The sequence below is a fragment of the Homo sapiens genome, chromosome 13 (genome assembly GCF_000001405.40).
Source record: "Homo sapiens chromosome 13, GRCh38.p14 Primary Assembly".
In the NCBI taxonomy this organism is placed as follows: domain Eukaryota; kingdom Metazoa; phylum Chordata; class Mammalia; order Primates; family Hominidae; genus Homo; species Homo sapiens.
Window position 1 is genome coordinate 100,430,344 of NC_000013.11, and position 19,687 is coordinate 100,450,030.

General features: G+C 40.2%; 1 protein-coding gene across 32 annotated transcripts in view; it reads left to right on the forward strand.

Moving 5' to 3' along the window:
* PCCA (propionyl-CoA carboxylase subunit alpha) overlaps nucleotides 1-19,687 on the forward strand; it is a 441,343-nt gene that overhangs the window by 341,251 nt on the left and 80,405 nt on the right. For 19 of the 32 annotated variants that reach the window (NR_148030.2, NR_148027.2, NR_148028.2 and 16 more), the window contains one exon: nucleotides 18,909-18,962. The exons of 3 other annotated variants lie outside the window; for them this stretch is intronic. Coding sequence is in view for 23 of the 29 variants with exons in the window: in XM_017020609.2 (XP_016876098.1) it covers nucleotides 18,909-18,962 (54 nt within the window). In the remaining 6 variants the exon portion in view is untranslated. Of the gene's footprint in view, nucleotides 1-369; nucleotides 449-18,908; nucleotides 18,963-19,687 lie in introns of all 32 variants that reach the window. 10 more of the 32 variants (XR_007063681.1, XM_017020613.2, XM_017020612.2 and 7 more) reach the window with 1 other exon arrangement.

Consider the following 19,687-nt stretch of genomic DNA (forward strand, 5'->3'; position numbering starts at 1 on the left):
TCCAGTGTCCCTGAAGAACACCATTATGAGTTTTAAATTGATCACTACCTTGCTTTTCTTTAGGGATATTTATGAATACACCAACACTGTGAGCAGTATCTTGTTGAGCTGCTCTTGTTTTTGAACCTTGTAATTGCCCCCATCCTCTCTGTGTTCCTCCAGGAGTTGTCTTCTCCCCACCAGCATGATGTTTGTGAGCCTGGCCCATGTTGCTGCCTATAGCTGCAGTTTATCTACTTCCATACATCATATTAATATTACCACCAATTACTTATTCTCCTCTAAATAGACATCTGTGTTATTTTCCTTATTTTGTTGTCACAGTGATGCTTGTATGAACACCCTACTTCCTGTTTCCTCTTGACATAGGAGGTTCTCCAGGTCATGTGCCGGTATAACAGCCATGCTGTGGGGCCTGTGCTTTCTCATTCCTGCATGGCAAGGCCAGGTGGGTTTCTCTGTGTGGCTGTACCAGCTTATGTGCCCATCAGTAGTGAAGATGATAGTCACAATGAGAACAATGAACTAACCTTATTCTGTACTTATTATGCCCGGCACTGACTGTTCTAAGCACTTTGTATGTATGAATGCCCCCAAAAACCCAATAAAGTACGTACTAGTGTTATCCCTCATTTTGTATTTGGGAAAACAGAAGCTTGTAGAGGCTAAATTGCTTTCCCATCTGGTAGTAAATGGGAGTGCCAGAATTTGAACCAAGGAATCTGTGCCCTTAACATTTTTTTTCACATCCTGGTGAACCCTTGGCCTTCCCAGACTACTTAGGTTTTTCCTGACTGGTGGGTTTAGATGGCATCTCATTATGGTTTTAATGTATACTTCCCTGATTAGTATGACAATGAACATTGAAAATATATATTTATTGGCTCTCTTGTTTTCTCTTCTGTAAAATATCTGCTCATGACTTTTGCCCACTTTTTAAATTGGATTATCTTTTTCTTATTGACTCATAAAAGTTCTTCCTGCGTTATGGCTCCTTTTTGTCGTATGTGTTGATAAAGTAGCTTCTGTTTTTATTGTTTTAAGTTATCCAAGTTAAGTTTTAAGGCAAGATTTAATGTCAGAATTTTCAATATTTTCCTTTATGGTTTGTGTGTTTTGCGTTTGTGTAGATAATCTTGTTCTACTCCTAAGCTCACAAAGATACCTATATTTTCTTTTAAACCTTTTTAAATTGTGCTTTTCAAAGTTAACTACTTAATCCTCATGGGATTGATTTTTGTACACGGTATGAGTGGCTCACGCCTGTAATCCCAGCACTTTGAGAGGCCGAGGTGGGTGGATCACGAGGTCAGGAGATCGAGACCATCCTGGCTAACACAGTGAAACCCCATCTCCACTAAAAATACAAAAAATTAGCTGGGTGTGGTGGCGGGCGCCTGTAGTCCCAGCTGCGTGGGAGGCTGAGGCAGGAGAATGGTGTGAACCCAGGAGGCAGAACTTGCAGTGAGCTGAGATCGCGCCACTGCACTCCAGCCTGGGTGACAGAGTGAGACTCCATCTCAAAAAAAATAATAATAATAAATAAAATAAAATACAGATACCAGGCCGGGTGTGGTGGCTTAAGCCTGTAATCCCAGCACTTTGGGAGGCCGAGGCGGGTGGATCACCTGAGGTAAGGCGTTTGATACCAGACCAGTCTGACCTGTAACATGGTGAAACCCTGTCTTTACTGAAAATACAAAATATTAACCGGGGATGGTGGTGCACACCTGCAGTCCCAGCTGCTCAAGAGGCTGGACCCCTGCACTCCAGCCTGGGCAACAAAGCAAGACTCCATCTCAAAAATAAATAAATAAATAAATAAATAAACAAACAAACAGATAACTCGTTATGCCAGCACAATTTAATGATAGTCGTGCTTCTCTTCCCTTACTACCTTGCCACCACCTCACCTTTCCAACCCCGAAATTCTTTAAAAGCGGTTTCTGTGATTCTCAATTAATTGTAAATAAAAAGATGATTTTTCGCTTAATACGATCCTCAGTATATTTGCTTCTGTGAGCTCTCAGTCAGTTGCACTCTTTTATTTTTTGTTAATCTTCTGGAAACCCTTAGCCAAGGGCATCAGATGATATTTGAGATACACCTTAGAAAAACGTGTTTGTGAATCAACAGGCAAATTGGGAAGTATTCATTTAGGGAAGTAATGAGAGCTAAACATGGAAAAATAGGTTGGAGGACCAGATAGTGAATGAGAGCCTGAAGAATCTATGCTTTTCAGTCAGCAGTGGAGATATTACAACTTTTTGCAGAGTACAGTAACGTCCATCAAAATGCCATTGTAGAATATTAATGTGTCCTCATAATAGAGGAGGGGTTAAGGGATTGAAGGGTGAAGTGGAGATGGAGTTCATTTAGAAGACAATCCTATTACTGCCTTCATCCTCCACTAGGGTGCAAGCAGTGTAGAGAAAAAGGGGGTTGAGTTTGAGAGAAACCTATGTTTCCATGCATAGAAACCACTTTCTGTTTCTATGAATTTGACTACTGTGGGTATGGGTACCGCCTATAAATGAAATGGTATAGTATTTGTCTTTTGTGACTGGCTTATTTCACTTAGCATACTGTCTTCAAGGTTCATCCAGGTTATAGCATGTGACAGGATGTCTTTCCTTTTTATGGCTGAATAATATTCCATTGTGTGAATATACTACATGTTGTTTATCCATTCCTCTGTCAACGGACATTTGGGTTGTTTCTACCTTTTGGCTGCTGTGAATTATGCTTCCATGAGCATGGGTGTACAAATATCTGTTTGAGTACCCCATTCTTTTGGGCATATGCCCAGAAGTGGAATTGCTGGATCACGTGGTAATTGTATGTTTAATTTTTTGAGGAACCTCCATAGTTGCTGCACCATTTTACATTCCCATTAGCAGTGCACAATAATTTCAGTTTCGTGCCATCTTTGTTAACACTTGTTATTTTCTGTTTTGTTTTGTTTTTTAATAATAGCCATCCTATTGGGGGTGAAGTGGTATCTCATTGTGGAGCAGGACTTATCTAGATAGTAACTGAAGAAAAAGCATTCCGAATACTTCTAGGATGTGTCCTTCCTATATTGGTATTACTCTGTAACCAGTTCACTGCACAAGTGGCACTTTTTTCAGTCCAAGTAGAAGCAAGTTTCTTAGAGCTGTTTTTTTTTTTAAACCCTTTATTTCAACTTCTTTCCTTCCCATATATAAAACCACATACCATTCTAACAGTCTGTAATGTTGCTACCAGGTAATAAACAAGCCATACTGTATTTGGGAGAGGAGGGTGTGTTTCAAAGTCTAGTTCATTGTAATATCAAAACTGGTAAAACCTCTCCTCTCTAAACTCAGTTTGACCTCACACTGAGAAACCTTTACTAGTGCAGAGGAGAATGTTGCTTTCTTCTTGCTTGCTTTATATTGTAGGGGCAAAAGGGTGTGATCCCACTCCTCCCCATCATAAGGGTGTCCATGGCAGACACTCCTATAACAAAAGACAGGTTAACAAGAGAAAAGTATAACTGATTTATTTAATCAAAGTTTTATGTGACATGAGAGTCTTCAGAACAGAGATCCAAAGATACAAGGAAAGCTGTCCATTTTAATGCTTAGGTTTAATGAAGAATGGGCAGCCGTGTAAAACTGATGGGACAAAGAATGTAAGTGAATGCTAGTAGGCTGAGAGGAACCCAGCAAGGCCTATGTTCAGATCTTCCTGGCCTCTCTTGTACTATTTCTTCCTCCCAGGTATGGGACAAGACCCATCTGGGATGACGGTCTTATGACCTGCTACTGTTGTAGAGAAGGGTAGGCCAGAGAATTTCTTTATGAGCAGCTCTTAGAAAGGCAGGGAGGGGTTAGAGTCCTCTTTCTGGTTTCATAGTTGTCTTTGCGGGAGAGGAATTCTGATGTCTGTGACTCATCTCAGGAGAGAATGAGGGGTGAGAGACAGGAAGGCAGAAGGTCAGAGATCTTAGTTCTGAGGTTACTTCTGAGGCCTTCTCTTTGGGGTATCATTTTCTGAGCCTCAACAATACCCTTTTCTACTTCAGAGCTGCTATATTGGGTCTCTCAGAATTTGCAGTATGGGGTAAAGATGAGAAGAGCATGGCAGGAAGAACCAGGTTTTCTGGGGCAGAGGCAACCTGGCATTCACTCTCTTGGGGCATGGCAGATGTCCAAAGCTGGCCGGTAGCCCTGGGATACTTTCATGTGGATTTGGGGGAACTTCTCACCTGCAGAACACTTAATGCCTCCTGTCTTTTCCAGTTGCCTTTGGTCTCCTGAGCAACTACTGTGTTGACTCTGAATGTTCTCACTGGGCATGGTCCCTCATAATGACCCCGCCTGCTTTTCTCCTGCACAATCCACGTCTGGCCACAGGAAATAGTAATAAGTCCTTGCCTCACCAAACCAACAAAGTACAAGCTTCTCTTCTTGGTCTGTCTCTAAGAATTCGCATGAATAAGTGATTCTCATGAAGTCGCTTTCACGTAGCTTAAGCAGAGTTCAGCCTTAAATTCTAAGCTTAAGAATTCGACCTCCTCAAATTAATTTTCCTCTTTTATTCTTTTAAGGTGGGAGATGGACAGTCACTGGTCCCACAGCTTCCTAGCACATTCTACCAGGTAGCCTTGGCTAGCATCTGACTTAAAGATGTATGGGTACTTGGCGTCTACTTCTTTTTGTTGCTGAACCCCTGTGATTCCATGAAAAGTAGTGCGTTCATCTGTTCTTATATTGCTATAAAGAAAAACCTGAGACTGCATAATTTATCAAGAAAACGGGTTTAAATGGCTCATGGTTCTGCCAGCTGTACAGGAAGTATGGTGCCAGCATCTGCTCAGCTTCTGGGGAGGGAGGCCTCAGGGAGCTTTCAGTCATGGTGGAGGCAAAGCAGGAGGAGGAGCATCACAGGGCAAGAGCAGGAATGAGGGTGAGAGAGAACGGGGAGGTGCCCCACTCTTTTAAACAACCAAGATCTACCTCTGTGATCCAAACACCTCCCACCAGGCCCCACCTGCCATGTCGAGAATCACATTTCAGCAAGAGATTTGGAGCGGACACATCCAAACCATATTAAGGAGCATTTAACTTCTTTATCTGATTAGATGAGTAAGTAGTTGGGAAGGCAACTTACCTTTGCTTCAGGAATTAGCTCCCGATTCATCCAGTCCGATCACGTGTATTCATGTTCCTGGTTTTCATTGGTAAACTTCATAAGTTTAATATTACCCATTAAATTCCTTTAAAAGTAAGTTGTATTTTGGTGTATACTGTCACTGGTAGAGGGTCATGATTGCAAGTTATCCAGGTTCTTGGCGTTTTGAACAAAGAATTGGACAACATGTCCAGCAAAGCAAACAATGAAGCAACAACAGAACAAAAACAGGGATTTATTGAAAACAAAAGTATAGGCGGCCAGGTGTGGTGGCTCATGCCTGTAATCCCAGCACTTTGGGAGGCCGAGGCAGGTGGATCACCTAAGGTCAGGAGTTTGAAACCAGTCTGGCCAACATCGTGAAACCCCGTCTCTACTAAAAATACAAAATTAGCCTAGTGTGGTGGTGCATGCCTGTAATCCCATCTACTTGGGAGGCAAAGACAGGAGAATTGCTTGAACCCAGGAGGTGGAGGTTGCAGTGAGCTGAGATCGAGCCATTGCACTCCAGCTTAGGCAACAAGAGCGAAACTCTGTCTCAAATAAAAAAAAAAAGAGAGAGAGAGAAAGAAAATGAAACTGTACTCCACAGTGTGGGAGCGAGCCTGAGCAGTGGCTCAAGGGCCCGGATACCGAATCTTCTTGGTTCCAAATACCTGCTAGAAGTTTTCCATTGATTACTTTATACTCACCTCATGTAAATGAAGTTGCAGCCTATAAGGTTGCAGAAAGCAGCCAACCAGAGGCTGAAGTGAAGTTACAAAGGTCACACTCCTGTGCAAACATGTTGCAAAGTTATACTCTTATGCAAATGAAGACTTGGCTGGCAATCAGTCTGATTGGTTTTGGACAGCAACCATTCAGAGACTGGAGTGAAGTTACAAAGTTGCAAAGACTGGACCCACAGTCAATCTGATTTTCTGATTTGTTATTGGATGGGAAATTGACTGTCCGATTTCCCATCTGCCACACAGAAAAGGTGGGTGGTTTGCAAAGGGAGTAGCCCCTGGTCCTTTTATTACTTAGGTGTGGAAAGCTAGGATTTTCCTTTCAATTTAGTTCTAGGAAGTTGGCGTGAAACAGCCTTGGGTTCCCTGCCTCCAGACCCTATTCTCCTGCCTCAGTGCTATCATTAGAATAATAAATTTCATAGGTTATTAACCTCTTTTAATTGATCTAAATCACCTGTTTCCTTTTGGATTTGACTTTTAATTCCCACTGCCCTGCTGACTTCTCGGCGCATATAAATGCTCAATAATTGGATGAATAGGTGTGGGTGGGTGAATGGGTAAGTGGACAGTCATCTTACATTATAGAATGTTTTGCTGATTCTTTTTAGTTCCTGACCTCCCAACATTTGCGAAATCCATACTCCATTAGTGTGGCTGGTGGACCTCTCTTGATACAGAATAACCATGGTTTCTGTGAGAGCAAAAAGAAACAAGAGGGCTCCCAAGGACTTGCCCACAGAGGCGCTTTGCTCACCAAGCATGGTTCTTTCCTGTTGGCCTCTGTTTGCTCTGGGTAGCACCTCGGCTGTTTTAGGCCCACAGTATCACCTATTGACAAGTGTAGATAGCTATTGATAGTATCAATAGGTGTAGGAAAGGGTCTGCCTCCTGCTATTCCTGGTTTTCTCTTTCTCAAAGGCTTGTGCATGCCCTAGGCTTTCTCACTGTCCGTTGCTGGGTGAGGTCATATCAGCTCTTACTCCCACAGAACCACCCGCACCTGCTTTAAGTACGCTGCCTTTCTGACTTCAAGAAAATCATACTCTCGGAAAAAGTCTAATCATTGTGGATAACTTTGAATATGGAGCTAGTGATATATTACCTAAGGGAGGAGGAAATCACATATTTTGAAATGATAAAGAACCAGGGGCATAAACATTGAGAACTCTTGAAAATAATTAAAAGTTCTCTTCAGAATTTTAAAGTCTTTTTCTATTAATTTCTCTAATAATTTAGCCAACTTTTCTTCAAATATCATCATTTAAGGAAAATGAAATAACTATTTTATATTTATTTGTTTATTTGTTTTTTTTTTTACCAGTGTTTCTGTTTTCATTGCCGAAGTAGTCAGTTGGTAATGACGTTTATTAAATAGCCTTATCTAATAGAAGGCTAACACAAGCCATATTTAAAATTTCTTTGTTTTAATTAATTAGCTCTTTGTTTTGTTTTGTGTTTGAGACGGAGTCCGTTGCCCAGGCTGGAGTTCAGTGGCACAATCTCAGTTCACTGCAACCTCCGCCTCCCAGACTCAAGCAATTCTTCTGCCCCAGCCTCCCAAGTAGCTGGGACTACAGGCACCTGCCACCATGCCCAGCTAATTTTTTGTATTTTTAGTAGAGAGGGGGTTTTACCATGTTGGCCAGGCTGGTCTTGAACTCCCGACTTCAAGTTATCTGCCCGCCTCAGCCTCCCAAAGTGCTGCAATTACAGGTGTGAGCCATTGTTCCCAACTGTCATTTAAAATTTCTTAGTAGTCATATTAAAAAAGATGAAACAAGTGGAATTAATTTTACTAATACATTTTATTTAAACCAGTGTACCTGTGGAGACAAAAGTGATTCCATCTTAATTGCTAATGCACCATGTTGTTTTTTTTTTCTTGAAGGCAAACCTTGTTGTTTTAATGTAATTTATTTTTTATTTTACTTTTTTTTTAATGATAGGGTCTTGCTCTGTTGCCCAGGCTAGAGTGCAGTGGTGCAGTATGGCTCACTGCAGCCTCAACCTCCCAGACTCAACTGATCCTCCTGCCTCTGCCTTCTGAGTAGGTGGGACTGCAGGCCTGTGCCACCACATGCAATTAATTTTGTTGATTTTTTGTAGAGATGAGGGCACACTATGTTGCCCAGAACTCCTGGACTCCAGTGATCATCCCGCCTCTGCTTCCCAAAGTGCTGGGATTATAGGCCTGAGCCACCACTCCCAGCAAAGCCATGTTGATTTCTCATTAGCCCCAGTCTCGTGAATGCCTCCTGATTCTGATTTTATTTACTGTTTTTAGTGTAAGAACAAAGCAGCCTTGATCTTACCACACAAATTATAGGCAGTGACGCACATAGCATTCCCACCTGTTCTGGAGGATGCCTTTAATTGCCTCTGTAGAGCACGTACACCCTTTCCCTGTGGCATATAAGCTCTGGGTCTGGCCAGTAACAGAGTGGGTTATACCTGTCTTGCAGCCATCCGAGATCACGCTTCTGTCTGTAAGTTCCCCCAAGAAAACACCCTTTACCAACAAATTGAGTTTCTTTGCCTTATTCTTTGGTTTCTTGGCTCCCTCCGCATTTGGGGGCTGCTTTGCATTTATGGCCCTTTCACAGAATAATACCCCAAATGTTGTCATTTCAACATGAAAGACTTTTAAAAATTACTAATGTGATACCAGAAACAACATAGACATTGGCATTAATACAACAGTATCTTAAACAATGGAACGGTCAGAGTGGAATGTAGTCCTACCAAAACAATGGAGTTGGGTTTAACAGAAAATTACACTGCTTCAGTTTTAAAATTAACATTAAATACAATTGAAAATTTAACTCCTCAGTCACACCAGTCATATTTCAAGTTCTCAGTAGCTACGTGTAGCTAGTGGTTACTGGGTTAGACCACTCACAGGCAAAATTTTTTGTAAACCAGAGAGTGTTTACAGATAGAGAAAACTCTACATAATGGTTTTTAAAGTATTCCCCCTTAATGTCAACCACAGTTTTGGTTTTTATCTCTTAAAATTTGGAATAGATGAGTTGAATTTATTTTTAAACAGAAGATGAATTTATCATCTAGCTGACAAACTTTTTAAATTTCCCATTAGAAGATTTAAAAAATTACAACCATTTTTAAAACGTGGAATGATTTCCTGCCTGTGGCATATAATTAAAGTGATGAAACAAACAGAAGATTCGCTGTGTCCTGGCCATGGTGAGCTCACTCTCTGTTTTCCTCACAAACCCCAGAACCTTTGTAGTGTGGAACCTGCTGGATGAATAGAAGTTTTTTATTTTATTTTATTTTTTTACTATGTCTATATTCCTGTGAAGTAATTTTTTTGACCTTGAAAGAAGTTCTTCAATTTTGCTGTTCTCTATTTCTTACAGTGTAGTTTGTGTACCGGGATTTAATGTATTGTTTGTCGTTAGCGTTTTACATACTAGATTTTCATCGTGCATAGTCACGTTGTTTGAACATTTGCAAGCAGAGCCGACTAACTGCTGTTGGCCTGTTTCTTTGTATGGCGTGATTTCTTCTATCCACCTGCTCACAGCAGGTTGCCTTCAGGCCTGAGGAGTAGCTAAATACTTTTGAAAATATCTTGAGATCCTGCTAAGGTCTAACAATTTCTGCATTTGTGTGATGTGAAGCTATTCATGCTGTACCTTTGAAGACTTTTTTCTTTCTATTTCTCATATTCTTGCTCAAATATTTTCAAAAGAAGATAAATTTATTATAAATAACAGTGCAGAGCTGATTGTAGCACCACTGCATTCTATATTGAATAGGTCTTTGATATTCAGCTAAGTGGAACTAATTTTCTATGTTAAAGCAGACAAATTTGGAATAGTGTCACATGAATCTCATGTTATTTACTGAAGAATACCAGATTAAATGGATTAGTTGTGAAATGACTAGAGTATTAAATTATATATATATATATATATATATATATATATATATATATATATATATATATATAAAACGTGATAACTTAAAATGCCCAGTGGGCCTATGTAATATAAAATATTACACAAGCACATGAATATGATGGACGAGATGTTATTCTGTTTGCAGATTGTGAAACTATCTGTAGTATATATACAAATGGTTGTCCACACAGAATTTGAATCAATTTTAAAATTGTAACCTTAAATTTCAGTTTTGAAGAAAATAAATTGTTGATTTTCATATCTACTTGAGAGGAAGTTAAAAATGTTATTTTCTTTTCAGTTTTTTTTAGATTAAAATAGCTCCCACACCCTCCAAGAATAAACTTTAGTTTTAATCCTAATAACTGTTTATAGATAGTAAAATTAATATTTTAATTAGAAAAATAAAGCGGCATACATTTTTGCCTGTACTTTGCTGGTACACAAATGAATTGGGAAGTAATTGTCTTATGTTTTCAGTCCTAAAGTGTTTTACAGGTTTTAAAAATGTTCCCCCCACCCCCATCTGTTTGAAGTCATTATTATTTTGTACTTTACACATGTGATTTCTCTAGAATCATTGCATGTGACATGACACTCTCAGGATATATAGGATATATAAATATATAACTTAGAATAAGTAGAGGTTGGTATTTTTCGAATGAAGTAGGAAATGAAAGAGTAATTATTAACCATATCCTTTTTACATTCCTGACATATCAATACAGCTACACATCTTAGAAACAAGCTCACCAGTAGAACAGAAATAACTCTGTTGACTCTGCTTTAAAATATTTCAAGGCAGTTTAACAGCTGGGATGTATTTACAGCTATGGTATAAAGTATTAATTTTGATGCAAGGCTACCTGCTTTTGTAATGTAGTCCTAGAAGCTTAGCAGTTTTCTGGGTTTTATAATTTGGAGTTGCTTTTAAAATTTAACCGAATGGGAAAATGTCTTTCTGAACTTCCCCTTCCCACACCCCCACACATACAAGCTTTTCTCCTCTTCTGTTAACTAGAAAATTATATTTTCGTTGCTGCCTGAGGAAGAGAATTTTGAGTAGTATAAACACTGATTGTAGTAAATGTGGAAAATAATACAAACAGCTGCACTGCAGACCGATAAGACAAATCCCACAGTAATGGCCTTTAAAACATATTACCAAGTTGGAAATCAGTGAGGGGAAAAAGAAAACTATTACTATTTCTTCCTCTTACTGTTCAGTGACATTATTTTTAAAGGTGAAATTACCTCTGGTTTTATTATCCTAGGAAGGTATTTTTGGAACATTTGATTTATTGTTTTGCAAATGTTTTTGCCTTTGTGTGAATAACTTTGCTAATTTTGTATGAATTTGATTCTAACAAATGTTGAAGTCATTTTGTTAACAAAATCTTCTAAAGTATTTTTTAAAGAAATAAAAAGGAATATATTATGTAAACATTGGAGCAGACTATCAAAATAAGAAAAGGAGAACATTTTTATCTGGCTTTGGAGTGCCATTTAAAATAGGAAAAGGGATGAAATATTTGCAGAAAATATTTTAATAAGCGTGGATATGTTTCATCAAATACAAGTCTTAATTTTTATGAAGAATTTTGCTATTAGCATATCAAGTGGTCAGTTCATATTTGTTTTGGCATGCATTAGACTCATGATAGGCATTGAATACTTTGTTTTTTGTGGATTCTAAAACTGAATTATCTTAATCCTAGGCTCTAGGAAAAGTATATCTTACTGCTAGGGAAGATTGAAATAAATTCCAGTTCTGAGTGAAATTTTATTTCTGTTTTTCTTTACATCAATCTTTTCTTTTTCCTTTTTTCTTTTTTTTTTTTTTTTATTTTTGAGACAGAGTCTTGCTCTGTCACTCAGGCTGTAGTGCAATGGCATGATCTCAGCTCACTGCAACCTCCGCCTCCCAGGTTTAAGCGATTCTCCTGCCTTAGCCTCCTGAGTGGCTGGGATTACAGGCGCGTGCCACCATGCCCGGCCAATTTTTGTATTTTTAGTAGAGGCAGGATTTCACCATGTTGGCCAGGCTGGCCTCAAACTCCTGGGCTCAAGTGATCCGCCTTCCTTGACCTCCCAAAGTGTTGGGATTACAGGCGTGAGCCACCACGCCTGGCCTGTCCTTCCTTCCTTCCTTCCTTTACAAACTGTGGGAGAGTGGTGAAAAAAAGGTGACAGTCATTATATATGTAATTGTGACCTGCTTTAAATTGAATGCAATGTTAAGGACAGCTTATTGGTACTTATACCTATGGTCACACATTCATTGATACAGTTTGTTTTTAATGTGAAAATTTGTTTCCATTTTACATAATACAAAATTACTTCTATTTGCCTGGGAATGAATCTAACCTTTGTAGTGTCAGCCAAAGGAATGATAATATTGTTTTAGTGTCTCCTACATAGAAGGGAACGCCCAGTATGGCCTAGGCAGTGTTCTAGACTCTGCAGATAGAACAAGGAACAAGACTTACCTTCCAGCAGGGGGAAGTAGATACTAAACATGTAAATACCTAAATAAGGTGATTTTAGTACTAAGAAGTTGGATGAAGACTATGAAATTGATAGAAAGTCACTAGAGAAGGCAGCTTTAGCAAGGATGGCTAGGAAGTCCTCTCTGAATAGCTAACACTGAGCTGAGACCTACGAAGAGGAGGGGGCAAACGTGCAGAAGTCTGGGGGAAGGAAGTCCCAGGTAGCAGAAGGGGCAAAGCAGAGGCTCTGAAACGGGACAAGCTTGTTTTGTGTGAAGGCCAGTTGGGGAGAGTGGAACGAGGAAGACAGAACCAGATCATCTAGGGGCCAAAGAACTGTTTTGTTTTGTGTTGTTTCTTTCTATTCATGTTGTGGAGCGTTTGGAGGGTTTGGGTAGGAGAGTGATGTGATGTGATTTTTTAAATCATTGCAGGCCTTGGGGTAGAGACAGAGAAATCATTGATTTGACCATTGCAGACCTCAGGTGAGAGGTACTGGTGGCTTAGACCAGGAGGCACCGTCTGTTTCTATGGGGCTCACAACTTGAGTGGTTATTACATTTTTAAATAGTTGGGGGAAAAAATTAAAGAAGAATGTTTCATCCAGCCTGGGCAACATAGTGAGACCTTGTCTCTACAAATAATTTTTTTAAAAATTGGCTGGGTACAATGGTGCATGCCTGTGGGTCCAGCTGCTTGGGAGGTTGAGGTGGGAGAATCGCTGGAGTCCAGGCAGTTGCTGTGGAGAGCTGTGACCATGCCACTGCACTCCAGCCTGGGTGACAGCATGAGACACTGTCAAAAAAAAAAAAAATCAATAATGTTTCATGACCCATGAGAAGTATGATGTCACATTCAGATCTTATTGATGATAAGCAGTTAACTAGAACATAGCCACATTCATTCATTTTTGTCTGCCATGTATAGCTGCTTTTGCAGTTTTTGTCGTATGAAGCTGAATGCACAGACTTTCTTGCCACGCAGCAGTTCAGTGGGTTATTGTGATTTTTTTTTTTTTAATCTCAGGACCAAGATTAAAGTTTTTTGTGCAGAGTTGCAGGTAGCCAAATTACTTTTTGTATTCCTGTGCCTTAGATTCCTCATCTGTAGAGCAAAATTGAGATCGTCTTTCAGGTCTGTTTGCTCTCCACATCCTAAGGTCCTAGGTCTGAATCAGACTTAGTTCTTCTGTTGTGGCTGCTTAGCACATCAGGCTCCTAACTGAATGATTGTAGTGGTGTTTTACTCGGTCTCCTAGCCTCGTCCTTCCCCATTCTATGTATCTTCAGCATGACCTCAGACCACCGTCTTTCTAAAACATGAGCATGTCACACTCCAGTTCTTAACTGTAAGAACTTTGTCAGGTATGAGCTCTCTTTGTACAAGATCTGACCTGGGTTTATAATTCCTTCCTGGTTTCCTTTCTTGCCACTTCCACCTTCATCCAACCCTATTTCTGGCCACGCTGAACTGCTTAACATTCCCTAAACTTGCCATGCCATCGTGCCATCCCTTAATCTGAAATTTTTGTTAACTGTCTCATCAGCCCACAATTTTTTTTTTTTTTTTTGAGACGGTGTCTCGCTCTGTCTCCCAGGCTGAAGTGCAGTGGTGGTGCAATCTTGGCTCACTGCAACCTCCACCTCCCAGGTTCAAGTGATTCTCCTGCCTCAGCCTCTTGAGTAGCTCGGATTACAGGTGCCACCACCACGCCCGGCTAATTTTTATATTTTTAGAAGAGACGGGATTTCACCATGTTGGCCAGGCTGGTTTTGAACAACCTTTTTTTTTTTTTTTTTTTTTTTTTTTTTGAGACGGAGTCTCGCCCTGTCACCCAGGCTGGAGTGCAGTGATGCAATCTTGGCTCACTGCAAGCTCTGCCTCCCGGGTTCACGCCATTCTCCTGCCTCAGCCTCCCGAGTAGCTGGGACTACAGGTGCCCGCCACCATGCCCAGCTAATTTTTGTATTTTTAGTAGAGATGGAGTTTCACCATGTTAGCCAGGATGGTCTCAATCTCCTGACCTGGTGATCCGCCCACCTTGGCCTCCCAAAGTGCTGGGATTACAGGCGTGAGCCACTGCACCCGGTGGTTTTGAACTTCTGACCTCAAGCAATCTGCCCGCCTCGGTCTCCCAAAGTGCTGGGATTATAGGTGTGAGCCACCGTTCCCAGCTGTTTTTCAGTTTTCTTTTGGAAAATTCCTGCTCATTTTTAAAATTTGTAATTGGTTTTTAATTGATAAATTAAAGTTGCATATATTTGTCATCCTGTCTTAGTAGTGTCTTTTGTGTTGCTACAAAGGAATACCCGAGACTGGATAATTTATAAAGAGAAAAAGTTTATTTGGCTCGTGATTCTGATGTCTGGAAAAGTTGAGGATTAGGCATCTGATGAGGACCTCAGGCTGCTTTTATTCATGGTAGAAGGCAAAGGGGAGCTGGTGTGTGTGGAGGTCACAGAGTGAGAGAGAAGGGAGGGAGGTGCCAGGCTCTTTTAAACAACCAGCTTTCTCAGGAACTAAGAGCTTGAACTCGCCCTCAAAGAGGGCATTAATCTATTCATGAGGGATCCTTCCCAATGATCCACACACCCCCATTATGCCCCACCTCCAACACTGGGGATCACATTTCAACATGAGGTTTGGAGGAGATAAACTTTCAAACTTTCACACATGTACAACATGTTTTGAAGTACACACTTCAAACAGTGGATACACTGTGGAATGGCTACATTGAGCTAATTAACATATATGTATTACCTCATATACTTATTCTGTATGTGAGGTACACTTAAATATACTCAGAAAATTTCAAGAATATATTAATAATACGTCGTCATTAACTGTGGTTTCTATATTGTATAATAGCTTTCTCGTACCTATTTCTCCTTTATAACTGAAATTTTGTGGGTTTTGATTAATATTTCCTCAACACCCCCTCCCCAACCACCATTCTATTTTCTACTCTATGAGTTTGACGTTTCCAGATTCTTCATGTAAGTGAGGTCATATGGTATGTCTTTCTGTATGTACCTGGCTTATTTTACTTAATGTAATGTCTTCCGGGTTCATCCATGTTGTTGCAAATGGTAGGATTTTCTTTTTTAAGTCTAAATAATATTCCATTTTGCATATTATACCACATTCTCTGTATCCGTTGGTCCATGGATGGACACTTAGGCTGATTCCCTGTCTTGGCCATCATGAATAGTGCTGCAAGAAACATGGGGATGCCAGTATCTCCTTGACATAACTGATTTCTTTCCTTTGGATATATATGCAGTAGTGGGATTGTTGGATCATATGGTAGTTCTATTTTTAATGTTTTGAGAAACCTCCGTACTGTTTTCCATAATGGCTGAATCTTGTTCATGTTTTTTTTCTTTCTTTTCTTTTCTTTGTTTTTTTGAAACAGAGTCACGCTGTGGTGCCCAGGCTGGAGTGCTTTGGCACAGTCGGCTCACTGCAACCTCCAACTCCCAGGTTCAAGTGATTCTCCTGCCTCAGGCTCCTGAGTAGCTGGGACTGCAGGCACCTGCCACCACGCCCGGCTACTTTTTATATTTTTAGTAGAGCCACCGTGTTGGGCAGGCTGGTCTCAAACTCCTGACCTCAAATGATCCACCCACCTTAGCCTCCCAAAGTGCTGGGATTACAGGCATGAGCCACCGCACCCTGCCCCTGTTTGTTTTTAAATATCCAGCTTTAATGTCTGTCTTAACCTATCTAATGTCTTCCTTATTAACCTTTCTGCTCATTTAGTCGGTCTGTCCTCTTATCCCATAATACTTTGTACATTTTGTACTATGCATTTATCGTATTGAATTATACTTATTTTTCCAATAATTCTGCTGTCTTTTCCTTAGTCTCTTGGAAGGTGGGTCTTAATTCAGCCAGCAGTGCCCAACACAGTTGAGAGGTAGATGGATGATTAGATGGATGACCAACGTAGAAATGCCAGTGTCAAAACCTAGGAATCAACCCTCCGTTCTTAACTGAGTCTCCCTAAGACACAGGAAAGGAGTCTATTTTATTCCATTTTGTTTTCTGTCTTTTTTTGCCTTTATTAAGTTCAACATGTGTGTATAAAAGAATAGGAAAAACAGATAAGTGAAAACGAGAGTCAACTAATATTTTTGCCTAGAAATAAGTTTTATGTGCACTAATTCTAGAATTTTTCTGTAACATAATTTTTTACAAGGCTTATTCTGAACATATTGTTTTGTTCTTCTTGCCCTTAGAAATAAACTGTAAGCGTTTTTCATATCTTGAAACTTTTTAAATGGCAGGCTGGATATATACCACAATTTACTTAGCTAGTGTCTTTCCCCGTCATTTACATTTCTTGCCATTGTTCAGTTCTATAAACTACACTGTGATATTTGTTCAGCTTTATTTTTCTGCCTATCCTTACATTTTTTCCTCAGGATAAATTCTTAGAAGTAAAATGGGTTGGCTGGGCGCAGTGGCTCACACCTGTAATCCCAGCGCTTTGGGAGGTTGAGGGAGCGGGTTATGAGGTCAGGAGTTCGAGACCAGCCTGGCCAACATGGCAAAACCCCATCTCTACTAAAAATACAAAAAATTAGCCGGGCATGGTGGGAGATGCCTATAGTCCCAGCTACTTGGGAGGCTGAGGCCGGAGAATCGCTTGAACCCAGGAGGCAGAGGTTGCAGTGAGCCGAGATTGTGCCACTGCACTCCAGCCTGGGTAACAGAGTGAAACTTTGTCTCAAAAAAAAAGATGTGAAATGGGTTGGTTGGGCATGGTGGCTCATACCTGTAATCCCAGCACTTTTGGGAGCTGAGGCCAGGAGTTCGAGACCAGCCTGGCCAACATGGTGAAACCCCGTCTCTACTAAAAATACAAAAATTAGGCAGATGTGGTGGCAGGTGCCTGTAATCCCAGCTACTCAGGAAGCTGAGGCAGGAGAAACACTTGAACCTGGGAGGCAGAGGTTGCTGTGAGCCGAGATGGTGCCATTGCGCTCCAGCCTGGGTGACAAGAATGAAACTCTGTCTCAAAAAAAAAAAAAGAAAGAAGTGACATGGGTCAAAATGCTCCCATACTGATTTTTTTTCTACTCTATACCACACTGCCTTAAGTATGCTATCTAGATTACCATTGTGTCAATTTACTTGGCAATATTTGCAGGTAGGGGAAAACATTTTGCATTAAACCACTGTCTTTCTTATTGATCTAACCTCCCTCCGTCAAGGAACCGAGGACTCAGCTTGATTTCTAGAGGTTCACTCTGGGTTCTATTACTTCTGTGATCATAGAGATCAGAGTTGGTAAACCTCCACTTCTGTAAAAAGGAATGAAATTAGGATACATCTGTATCGTAATGCTCATGGCATGTAGTTGAGTGAAAGCCACTAATACTCTACATCTGGGAACTTAAAAAAATGATGCTGGCTTAGTTAGAACTGCTTTATTTGTGTGTGTAGTCTTTGAAGTCACTGAGCCCTCTCTGATTAGCCAGAAGAGGAAGAATTCTGAGGAATACGTTAGGATTAAGTAGAGCAAGTTTTTTTTGTTTTTGTTTTTGTTTTTTGAGACGGAGTCTCACTGTCATCCAGGCTGGAGTGCAGTGGCAGGATCTTGGCCCACCACAACCTCACCTCCGCCTCCTGGGTCCAAGCAATTCTTCTGCCTTGGCCTCCCGAGTAGCTGGGACTACAGGTGTGCACCACCACGCCTGGCTAATTTTTGTATTTTTAGTAAAGACGGGGTTTCACCATATTGGCCAGGCTGGTCTTGAATTCCTCACCTCGTGATCCGCCTGCCTCAACCTCCCAGAGTGCTGGAATTACAGGCATGAGCCACCGCGCCTGGCCCAACAGACCAGTTTTGTAGGTGAGAATTATCTCACAGTGTAGTCAGCTTCCAGTGTACTACTTATTCACCCATTTTTAGTAGCAGTAGTAGTTACTTTTAACTAAAATTTTAATAGTCATAGTATTTACTTTTAATTAAAATTCAAACAAGATATATGCAAGTGATATATTTGCTGTAAACAAATTTTATTTATAAATAAATGAATAATAAAGAGGTTATTTCTTTCACTACTCTCTGGACATAGAATTGCATTGTTGTTTTAAACAAATGCTAATTCATTTTCTATAACTATTTTATTGAGATATAATTCACACACCATACAATTCACCCATTTAAAGTTACAGTTTAGTGGTTTGTAGTCAATTCACAGGGGTGTTCCACCACCACCACAGTCAATTTTAGACCATGTTTATACCCTTGAGAAACCCCACACCAATTAGCAGTCATCTCCATGTCCTCCCAGACCTCCTCTTGGAGGCATCTACCAATCTACCTTCCATCTCCATGGATTTTACTATTCTGGACATCTCTTATTAAGTGGAATCATATAATGCATGATCCTTGGTGACCAACTTCTATTGTAGCATGTATCACTACTTCATTCCTTTTTATGGCCAAATAATATTCCACTGTATGGCTATACTATATTTTGTTTACCCATCCATCAGTTGATGGACATTTGGGTTTTTTGGCTATCGTGAACATTACATACAAGCTGTGCAGATATGAGTTCATTTTATATCTCTTGTTTGTTTTTTAGTGTCTTTCTCGAGAAGCAGGTGGAAACATGAGCATTCAGTTTCTTGGTACAGTGGTAAGTATGAAATCATTCTTTATTCTCTTAATTTACAGAGAAAAAATGTTCAACTAGTTGTAGCTCATGTGTTTGAACTTGGCTTCATTACTGCTAGATATTTAAATTACCTCTACTTTTTTGCCTTTACAAATGATATTCTAGGGAACAACTTCATATATTTCACTTTATTTTAGTGTTTGGAATTATTATCTTTTTTGAGACAGAGTCTCACTGTGTTGCCCATGCTGGAGTATAGGGGCACAATCTCAGCTCACTGCAACCTCTGCCTCCCGGGTTCAAGCGATTCTCGTGCCTCAGCCACCCAAATAGCTGGGATTACAGGTGCCTGCCACCAAGCTCGGCTAATTTTTGTGTGTTTTTTTCTAAAGATGAGGTTTCACCATGTTGGCCAGGCTGGCCTCAAACTCCTGGCCTCAAGTGATCCATCCACCTCGGCTTCCCAAAGTGCGGGATTACATGTGTGAGCCATGTCCGGCCTGGAATTATTTTCAAATGTGGATAAGATATTTTTAAACATGTATGATATATTTTCTCCCAAATAGAATCAAAGTCATAAATAGTTTTATGGCTTATTATACATGTTGCCCATTATTTTATGTCCCTTTAGAACACCACCCATCATATATTAGAACACAACTTTGCATTGTCACCTAGTGTGAGTTGTAATTTTCAAGATTAGTAAACTTGATCTGCTGAAGAGTTTCAATTTATTATTACTATTT